We start from the raw sequence: 10,984 nt of genomic DNA, 5'->3' as shown, positions 1-10,984 counted from the left end.
TTACAGGCGTGAGCCACTGCACCCAGCCTACATCCAGTTAACAGAAGGTCCAGAAAGACCAGAGAAAGTGGGGGAAGAGATTAATAAATAATTTGGGGAGTTTTTCAAAATTAAAGGACCTAAATTTTAAAAAGTACAAGGATCCACCAAGTACTTCTTCAGGCAAGCCATAAAAAGAGAGCCCTAATATGACACATCATCATGAAAAATGAGCCTCCAGGATGAAGAGAAGCTTCCAGGAAGAAGAAATGGCAGGAATAGCTCTGGACTTCTTGACAGCAACATTGACAGCCAGCAGGTGCAGGAGCAATGCTATGAAATGCTGAAGGAGAAGTGTTTCCAACCTAGGTTTCTTTGGGTGGTGTTGTTGTTGTTGTTATTATTGTTGTTTTGAGACAGAGTCTCGCTCTTGTCTCCCAGGCTGGAGTGCAGTGGCACAATCTCAGCCCACTGCAACCTCCGCTTCCTGGGTTCAAGCTATTCTCCCACCTCAGCCTCCCGAGTAGCTGGGACTACAGGCACGTGCCACCATCCCTGGCTAATTTTTTAATTTTTTGTATTTTTAGTAGAGACAGGGTTTTACCACGTTGCCCAGGCTCGTCTCGAACCGCTGACCTCAGGCAATCTGCCCTCCCAAAGTGCTAGGGCTACAGGTGTGAGCCACCACGCCTAGCCCCAACCTATATTTCTTTACCCAGCCAAGCTATCAGTCAAATGAGAGGATAGAATGAAGAGATTTTTAGACATGCAAGGTCTTGAAACACATATAGTCAGTCCTCATTATTCTTGGATTCCATATTTTTGAATTCATTTAATCAATAAAATATATTTGTAACCACCAAACTAGTATCCACACAGCTTTTGCAGTCATCTGCAGACATGCGTACAGCAGCAAAAATTTGAGTCACTTGATGTGCATGTTTCCAGCTAAGGTTGAAAAAGGTGACCCTCTGCCTTCTTGTTTTGACTCTGATGATGTAAACAAGTGTCCTTTTTGCAGTCTAGTTAGTGTCATGTTTTTCATATTTTTTGTGCTTTTTGTTGATATTTCACTGGATTGTTTTTTGTTTTGGTTTGGTTTTGCTTTTGGCTTTTTTTTTTTTTTTTTTGAAATGGAGTCTCGCTTTATCACCCGGGCTCGAGTGCAATGGCGCGATCTCAGCTCGCTGCAACTTCTGCCTCCCAGGTTCAAGCAATTCTCATGCCTCAGCCTCCCGAGTAGCTGGGATTACAGACATATGTCACTACACTTGACTAATTTTTATATTTTTAGTAGAGACGGGGTTTCACCATGTTGGCCAGGCTGGTCTTGAACTCCTGACCTCATGTGATCCACCCACCTCAGCCTCCCAAAGTGCTGGGATTACAGGCATGAGCTACTGTGCCTGGCCTGGATTTTTTGGTTGTTGTTGTTTTGTTTTGTTTTGTTTGAGACAGCGTCTCACTCTGTCACCCAGGCTGGAATGCAGCGGCGTGATCTCCACTCACTGTAACCTCCGCCTCCCAGGTTCAAGCAATTCTCTTGCCTCAGCCTCCCTAGTAGCTGGAGTTGCAGGCAAGCGCCACCACACCTGGCTAGTTTTTGTATTTTTAGTAGAGATGAGGGTTTCACCATATTGGCCAGGCTGGTCTTGAGCCACCGTGCCCAGCTGATTTCACTGTTTTAAATGACCCCCACCCCCAAGCGCAGTGCTGAAGGGCTGTTGATATGGTTTGGCTGTGTCCCCACCGAAATCTCATCTTGAATTCCCACGTGTTGTGGGAGGGGCCCAGTAGGAGGTAATTGAATCATGGGGGTAGGTCTTTCCCGTGCTGTTCTGGTGATAGTGAGTCTCACGAGATCTTATGGTTATTATAAGCGGAATTTTCCTTTCCTCTTTGTCTGCGACCATCCACGTGAGATGGGACTTGCTCCTCCATGCCTTCTACCATGATTATGAGGCCTCCCCAGCCACATGGAACTGTAAATCCAGTTAAACCTCTTTCTGTTGTAAATTGCCCAGTCTCAGGTAAGTCTTTATCAGCAGCATGAAAATGGACTAATACAGCTGTCTAGTGTTCCTAAGTGCAGGAAGTCTGGGGTATGCCTTACAGGGAAAGCCCACGTTAGAGAAGCTTCGTTCAGGCAGGAGTTAGAGTGCTGTTGGCCATGAGCTCAGTGTTAATGAGTCAACAATATATATTAAATAGGGTATCTTTAAACAGAAATATATATAAAACAAAGTTATGTGTTGATCAGTTGGTGACAACACTGTGACCCCAGACTCATAGGAATGGAACCCTGTATTTCCCTCTTGGAGCATTGGCTTAGTGTTGGGTAATTCAGCATTTTTGGTGACTTTATAGACCGTAACTGGTGTGAATAATGAGAATAGACTGCTTTCCTTACATGCTTTCTCTGAAGATTACTAGAGAAGATACTTCACTAGAATAAGGGCTAAATCAAGAAAGAGGAAAATATGGGATATGGGAAAAAGAGAAAGGCAAGGGGGATCCCAGGTTGCTGGAGGCGGGATGCCCTATAGGCATGGGGCACCAGGCTCCAGCTTCCCTGGGCAGATGGGCGTGAAGACCCCAGTGCATCTCGAAGCCCTGCGAGGAAAGGGCAGGACTGAACTAGCAACAATTGTCTAGAGAACGATGCAAAGGAGAAACCACGAAAATGATTTGCTGGGGTCGGGGTAGGGAGTGCGACTGTGCGGAAAAGGTTGACAAAGAGGACAGTCATTTATTTGCTGCTGGAAGCCATTTACATGAATTGACTCATTGAAAGCAAGGCCAGGTAGAAGGCAATCAACCAAGAGGCTGAAGAATTTGTCCAGGATCACACAGCTAAGTGGCAGAAGGAGGACTAGAACCCGGAAAAGTGGCTTAGAACTCCATGCCCTTCACCACTGACAATGCTGGTGTCCTAAAAACAGGTCTGAGGGTGGGGGGCAGGTGCGCACAGTGAGTAGGGGTCAGGAGGCAGCGATATCCTCACCTTCCAGAAACAGAGGTCAACCAATGAGGCTGACAACTAAAAAAAAAAAAAATCAAGATGGAGTCTCAGAGGCCAGGCAGAGTGGCTCATGCCTGTAATCCCAGCACTTTGGGAGGCTGAGGCAGGCAGATCACCTGAGGTCAGGAGTTCAAGACCAGCCTGAGCAACATGGCAAAACCCCACCTGTACTAAAAATACAAAAATCAGCCAGGTGTGGTGGCGGGCGCCTGTAATCCCAGCTACTCAAGAGGCTGAGGCAGGAAAATCACTTGAACCCAGGAGGAAGAGATTACAATAAGCCGAGATCATGCCACTGCACTCCAGTCTGGGCGACAGAGCAAAGACTCCGTCACAAAAAAAAAAAAAAAAAGATGCAGTCTCAGAGGCAAATGACACAGGGTAAAAACAAAATAATTGGTTAAAGGAGGTGAAATAGTTGCCTCTGGGGAGGGGACAGGAGGGGGTGAAGGACAGGAACAGGGAACTGCTGTTCCTCTTAACAAACCTTGTAGAGCTATTTGCCTGTATAAGTTTCATGAAAATAAAAGCTAAAAATAAAGAGAAGAAATAAACACTGTTCCCGGATCCTAGACAGAGCCTGCAAGCCAGGGCTGCCAGGTGAGGCCCCGGGGACGGGGTAGCCATGGCTTTTCCTGTTTGCCCTGGAGACTTTGTCTTTGACTTGGGAGACACCCTCTGGCCCTCCAACACCAAGCACGGTGGTTGGGGGTTGGGGGTGGTTCCCCGTGTGAGTTACGGCCCCAGATTGGTTGACGATCCCAGCAGGGAGGGAATCGCCTGCCTGTGGAAGACCCCAGCTGCACCAATCTTCCTGCTCATTCAGGGGCTGCTGGGCTTGACCTATCGATGTCAGTTGCAAATGAGGGGTCCTCCCACAGCTGCTCAGCCAGCCCCTCATCTGAGACCCGTGCTCCAAAAAAGAAGCTGGGGCGGCAGAGGGCTGTCACCTCACACGCTAATGACATGGGCACGGACATAAGAGGCCCCCAAGAGACACACCAAGCACCTGAGGTCACAGAGACAAAGTAGAATCCACAGAGCAGTGGTGCCCCAGGGAGGCAGGAGACCCTCATCCCATCTCCAATCCCACCCTGGTCCCCACTCCCCAGTCCAGATGGGACTCCCTGCCTCTTTCCCAGATGTCCCCCACACTGACTCACTGTGGGCGGCAGCTTTTACGTAAGAGGGCCAAGTGATGGCCCCCACAACAGATCATCTGAGGCTGAGTATTAGACACCACTGCATATCCACCACGCCCCTCTTTTTCTCTTCCTGTCAAACTCAGTAATGGAGACAACCTCCTTCCTCTGGGAGTTTCAGATGCAGAGGCAAACTTTTCCCTCTCACAGCTATGATAACGGTGTCGTCTCATCTGGCCCTTAGCAATTTTTGAACCCCAGCACATCCAGCTAGTGGAATTAATACTTCTCAGGGTTCCTTCGAGGGCCAAATGAATCATGCAGGCTGGGGTATTTTGGGAAATAAAAGGGTGAGAAATCCAAAGAATATTTTGAGAAATGTGCGCAATCAGCCCTCTCAGATGTTCAAATAGATGATTAAGTCTCTGATTAAACAGCAGAGCTGGCATGAATGGAACTGACCAGAGAGCAGAGAAATGTTCTCATGTACATGAATTTAATACATGACCAAGCTGTCTTCAGTGGGCAAAGAACAATGGAAGGAGTAGCCAATATAAAAGCAGCTTGGGGGTCGGGCGCAGTGGCTCACACCTGTAATCCCACCACTTTGGGAGGCCGAGGCAGGTGGATCACCTGAGGTCAGGTGTTCAAGACCAGCCTGACCAACATGCAGAAACCCCGTCTCTACTAAAAATACAAAATTAGCCAGGCGTGGTGGTGCATGCCTGCAATTCCAGCTACTTGGGAGGCTGAGGCAGGAGAATCGCTTGAACCGGGGAGGCGGAGGTTGCAGTGAGCCAAGATCACACCATTGCACTCAGCCTAGGCAAAAAGAACAGAACTCCATCTCAAAAAAAAAAAAAAATCAGCTTGGATGCCTTCTTCATATCTTTCACAGATGCTGAAAAAAATAAATTATTTATCAAGCAAAGCAAACCCTAGGAGGGCTGGTCAAAAATATAAGTGAATATTAACCAGATCTCAGGAGGAATGGGAAGTCTTCGAGCTTTAAAATCATTAAGGAGATTTTTTTTTTGAGGAGAAGCAAAAGTGATTGACGACTATATAAAAACAAAAAACAAATCTCCCATACCACAGAATAAAAAACTAATGGGGGTAGAGGGGAACTAAATTGACAACCAAATGAATGGCAAAGGGTTAATATCAATAATCTGTGAAAACACTACACTGGCTGGTAAGAAAAGCCTTAAACCAACAGGGTTTTTATTTTCTTTTATTTTTTGGAACTTGACGAAATGATACCAAATTTCATCTGGAAAAATAAACGTGCGAGACCAGCCAGGGAAATTCTGAGGAAAAACAAAAGTAGTGGAGGAGGGCTGGCTTTACCAGATGTTAAAACATCTTAGGAAAGTACAATAACTTTTAAAGTTTAGCCCTGGAAAAGAAGTAGACAGTTCCATCCAGACGCGAGTGCAGAAATGGATGGAAATATGTAGGATTTCAGCACGTGAATGAGAGAAGGAATTTCACATCGGAGGGGAAAGGTGCATTGTTCAAAGTAAGGCATAGAGATAAGTGGGTAGCGGCCATCTGGAAAAAATAAAACAGAATCCCTACCTCACCCCCTACACCCAGATCAGTTCCACATGGGTCCAAAATTTAAACCAAAAAATTGAACCTTAAAAATTCTAAAAGAAACATAGGTGAACTTACAATCTTTGGAAAGGAAAGATCTTTATAGGCAGGATACAGAACACAGAAGCCACAATAAAATTCATTTGGGGAAATCAATGGGTGAGAAGTCCCAAGAATATTTTGAAAAAGATGGGGAATAAGCCCTCTCTGATATTAAAATACATGATTAATGGGGAGATGAGAAACAGGCTTTCCTCCATAAAACAGTTCAATACGTGATAATGGTGTCTTCTCTGGACAATGAACAATGGGAAGAACATTCAGACTGTGAAGTTGGGACATCATGAAAAGAAACATAAGTTTAAGTCCATTTTCCACATATACTAAAGAATAAATTATTTATAAAGCAAATCAAATCTTAGGCTGGCCAAAACAATAAAGGAATATTGAACCGGACTCTAAAGGAATGAGAACCTTGCAAGCTTTAAATGATTGAGGAAATCATGAAGGAAAAGGAGAACTGATTCAACTATTTAGAAAAGACCTTCTATATCAAAAAATCAAAGTGCAACAATTTTGACTACGTAACATTTTTTCATTTCTAGGTGAATAAAAAAGGTATATACCAAGTCAAGACAGAGCTGAACAGGGACTGACATTCACAGAATTAATTGCTTTAATTTAGAACATGTTTATACAAGTAAATGAAAGAAAGACTTAAAACCTAACAGATAATTGACAAAATCTGAATATGAAAAAGCAACTCCCAGAAAAACAAATTCAAGTAAATGGTAGCCATATGAAAAATGTTCAAGCTCACTCATCATCAAGAAACAATACAATGCCCTTTGGGGATAGGTTAAAAACCTATCCAATTGGCCAAGATTTGTAAGTTTGAAAATACCCCAAATATATGGAAAAATAGCCATTCTCAAACACTGTAGTGGGAGTATGAATTGGTCTATTCCACTCCTTTTAATGGCTGTATAATACTTCATGTGTGGATGTAGCAACATTTATTCAACCAGTCCCTGTTTATGGACATTTAGGGTTTTTTTCCTCCCAGTTTAGAATGAAAAGTGGTACCATGATGAACATCCTTGTACACACATCTTTGCATCCATGTGTAAACACATTTGTAGTAGAAATTCTTGGCAATGGAACTTCGCAGTAAATGCTGGTTTGCTATGAAAATTTTGAAAGATGTTTCCAAACTGCCTCCCGTAGGGTTACAGTCGTTTATACTCTGACCAATTGTATGTGAGCTGTGTTCCTATACCTTCTCCAGCAGCAAAAATTATAGCATTAATATTGTTTTGTTTTCATTGTTAAGTATATTTTTTAAAAGGGCAGTGGGGGCCAGGTGCGGTGGCTCACGCCTGTAATCCCAGCACTTTGGGAGGCCAAGGCGGGCGGATCACGAGGTCAGGAGATCGAGACCATCCTGGCTAACACTGTGAAACCCCATCTCTACTAAAAATACAAAAAATTAGCCAGGCGTGGTGGCAGGCGCCTGTAGTCCCAGCTACCGGGAGGCTGAGGCAGGAGAATGGCATGAACCCAGGAGGCGGAGCTTGCAGTGAGCCACGATCACACCACTGCACTCCAGCCTGGGGGACACAGTGAGACTCCGTCTCAGAAAAAAAAAAAAAGGGGGCAGTGGGGTGGAGTGGGGTGGGGTGAGTAGGGGGATTGTCAGGAAATTGCAAGTTGTGGTACAAATGTAAGACATTTTGATTTCTTCACCTTTGCCACTTACCTACCACAAGCTCCTCAGCTCATCCCCTTCCCTCCCTGGGCCTCAGTTTTCCCATCTGTGAAACAGGAGAATGAAATAAATTGATATTTTTCAAACTTACTCACCAAATGACAAAGCTGAGTGAGGTGATCTTACCTCTGTGTGTCTGGGGTGGGTGGGCGGTCACCCCTGCCCACTCTTCCCTCCTACACACCAGAGAAGCAAACACACATCGGGAGCTCCAGCCTGGCCCAGCCCACGAATTCAGGACTCTGGTCTCATTCCCAAGCTGCAGCTGAGGAAGGTTAGGAAGCCAATTCTGTTGCAAAGGTGGTCGCTTTCCTGCCATAAGTGATGTTGGACCCCAGGGCTGCCTTTCCTGGTGTCTTAAATGTGAGCCATTCAAACACCAATCTTGACCTGAACCATCTGTGGCTCCCCATCGCCTAGGGAATTAAGGCTGACTCCCTTCACTGATTCTGACCTTGAGCCTCCAGATTCTGGCTCCAGCCTCTCTCTCCATGGTCTGGCCAGACACCCAGTTTCTATCTCCTGCAAACCAAGCCTTGACCACATACCTTATCCAGGGGCTCCCCCTCCTGCTGGCCTTTGTTCACCCACAAGGTCTCCCACCCATCTCTAATGACTTCCTTTACCACCAATTGTGTGTGCCCTTCCGCATAATCTATAGTGTGCAATGAGGTGCAGGAATCAGAGGCCATAGGGTTATAACAGGGAAATCTATAAGCCTTCATCAAAGCATTCCAGCTTGGTGATTCTTAGAGAATCTAAGACAAAGCAAGCATATTCAAAATAGAGCAAGTATAATTACAATTAAGGTTGGGTAGGTATGCACGGATGAAGAAAAAGACTGGAAGGAAATATAATACACCAAAATGCCCCAGGTTTTGAGTATCTTCAAGATAATAACATTGATAGGCTGGGCACTGTGCTTCACGCCTATAATCCCAAGACTTTGGGAGGCCGAGGCGGGTGGATCACCTGAGGTCAGGAGTTCAAGACCAGCCTGACCAACATGGGGAAACCCCATCTCTACTAAAAATACAAAATTAGCCAGGCATGGTGATGCATGCCTGTAATCCCAGCTCCTCAGGAGGCTGAGGCAGGAGGATCGCTTGAACCCAGGAGGCGGAGGTTACAGTGAGCCGAGATTGTGCCACTGCCCTCCAACCTGGGCAATAAGAGAGAAACTCCGACTCAAAAAAACATTGATAATGCTGATGATGATAGCTTACTCATGTTAAACACGCCATGCCAAGGACAACGCCAAACATTTTATATGCTCTCTTTACCTAATTTTATATATTTCAAGCTCTCTGTAATTTACGTGTTTAACTTTTGTCATAAGAAAAATGTGTTGCTTTTTAGCATATTAGGGTTAAATCATGATGGATGGAGAATTATTTTCGTGCAATGAAAGGTGGGTTCTGGATAGAGATGGCTAAGGTCAGACTCCTCCCACCTTCCAGATGAGGTTCCTAAGTTTCTTGACCCCCTTTCTCTGCTGCCCCCTCCCTACACCCCTGCAGTTTTTCCTGAAAACTGGGCCCAACAGCTGGCTCTCATACACGTTGTCAGAAGAATGAAGCTAGAACCCCAGATCCCTGGAGTCTCCTCCCCTGGCCTGTTTTAGGTGGCCCAAGCTCCCACAGCCATCCGGCAGCAGGGTAGTGGTCAAGAGCCCAGACTCTGGAATTCAGACCATCCCTGACCCTGCTGTATGCCCCTATGTGAACTTGGCCAAGTGGCCCCTTCTTCTGTGCCTCAGTTTCCCCATCTGTAAAATGGCCATCATGGCAGAAGCCACCTCCTTTGTAGACCTGGGTGAGAAGGAAACAGTATGAGTTAAGAAAAGTGCTGTATCCAAGGCCTGGCACATAGTAGGCTCTCAGTACCCAGGTCCTACCATTATCATCATCATTTGTTGTTAATGTGTTGGAGGAATGCTCAGAGGCAGCAGGCAGACATTCCCCCCAAAATAAGCTCTTAGGAAGAAGCCCCCTGGACGCAGGCTCGGAAAACCAGAATGTTAAAAAGATAAATAAAGCCTCTCTGTAGCTGGACAAAGTCTGGGCGGACCAGAGGGGGCAAGGGAATTCGGCTGCGGAGAAGGATTTAAGCCCTGGACAATGGGCGCCGTCTGAACTAACCGGAGCTGCTTCTTTGAGTCGTGAGTAGAGCTATTTTCTTGTTTAAAGCCTTAAACAGCTATTAAGTTGGGCAAATCACTGGTAAAACAGCTGGAAACCTAAGTAGCAATTTAAACAGCCCATTGCCCTTCCATCCCGACATAGAATGCCGGCCGCTCGGACAGACCATCTCCAGGTCCGACTTTGTCAGGCCTAAGAGGATTGAGTGGGGGACCCTTCCCCAAGCTCTGAATGCAGCCAGGAGCTTTATTTAGCAAATCCACAATTTCCACCCCACCCCCTCCCCCTTTTTTTTTTAAGTGAGCAGACTGAACTCTAATTTTCCCTCTTTTCTCTCCCCGGTCTCCTTGAATCGGCCCATTCTTTCATTATGTGGAACTAATGAAGGCCTCGCAGAGTCCCTGCTCAGGAATAGGGCCCTTTAATAAAACATGTTTCATTGATCAACTTCAAAAAGTCTTTTAGTGGGGTTGGAGGTGGGAGAGGGAGGAGGTAGTTGGGATGGAGTGGAGCGGGGGAGGGTCTCCCAGGGCACCACTGGGGGAAGCTGAGCCTGGCGAGTGACAGCCTGGGAGCTCGGGCAGGCGTGCATAATGTCTGTTTCTTTCCTCACGATCCAAAATCCAAATCCACAATCCATTCGTTTGTTTTGTGGGCCGGTGATTCTGCAGGCGCCGGGACAGGCCTGCCTGAAGCCTCCCCATTCACCCACATGGGACGGGAAGGAGGGCTGGATTGCTTTACATTTTTTATTTTATTTTTTCTTAATCTACTCACAAATAAAACTTTTGGCCAGCTAAACAGAGCTCTGGACTTACAGCAGTCCCCCAGAGAAATATGGCCGCCAGCTTTGGGCTTCTCTAACATCCGTCCCAGCAACATCCCTCAGGCACAGTGTGACAGGGGAGGCGCCGCGGCACACAGACCGTCGGACCCCCGCCTGCCATGAATATTAAGTGAGAACCTACTATGTGCGCAGGAAGCTCTACGGATTAATTTTACTTTTATGGTTTTTTAAAAAATTGTTTGAATTGCAAAAGCAGTGAATGCCAATTACAAAGCCATTCCATGACACTGTGGGGTACACAGTAAAGCAAAAGTCCCTATTAAGGATTTTTTTTTTTTTTTTTTTTTGAGACAGTCTTGCTCTGTCGCCCAGGCTGGAGTGTAGTGACACCATTTTGGCTCACTGCAACCTCCACCTCCTGGGTTCAAGACATTCTCCTACCTCAGCCTCCCGAGTAGGTGGGATTACAGGTGCCTGCCACTGCACCCAGCTAATTTTTTTTGTATTTTTAGTAGAGACGAGGTTTCACCATGTTGGCCATGGTTG

At 46.0% G+C, this 10,984-nt stretch overlaps 1 annotated feature.

Annotated features, from left to right (window-relative positions):
* Positions 3,812-4,313: an enhancer, noted in NCBI's record as "H3K4me1 hESC enhancer chr22:43765639-43766140 (GRCh37/hg19 assembly coordinates)". NCBI's record gives its function as "activates a minimal SCP1, AML or CMV promoter by ChIP-STARR-seq in primed H9 embryonic stem cells {active_cell/tissue: H9 hESC(primed)}" and the evidence as "EXISTENCE:reporter gene assay evidence [ECO:0000049][PMID:30033119]".

The sequence above is a fragment of the Homo sapiens genome, chromosome 22, assembly GCF_000001405.40.
Source record: "Homo sapiens chromosome 22, GRCh38.p14 Primary Assembly".
In the NCBI taxonomy this organism is placed as follows: domain Eukaryota; kingdom Metazoa; phylum Chordata; class Mammalia; order Primates; family Hominidae; genus Homo; species Homo sapiens.
The sequence above is the reverse complement of the archived record's forward strand: the minus strand, read 5'-3'. Positions and strand labels throughout refer to the sequence as shown.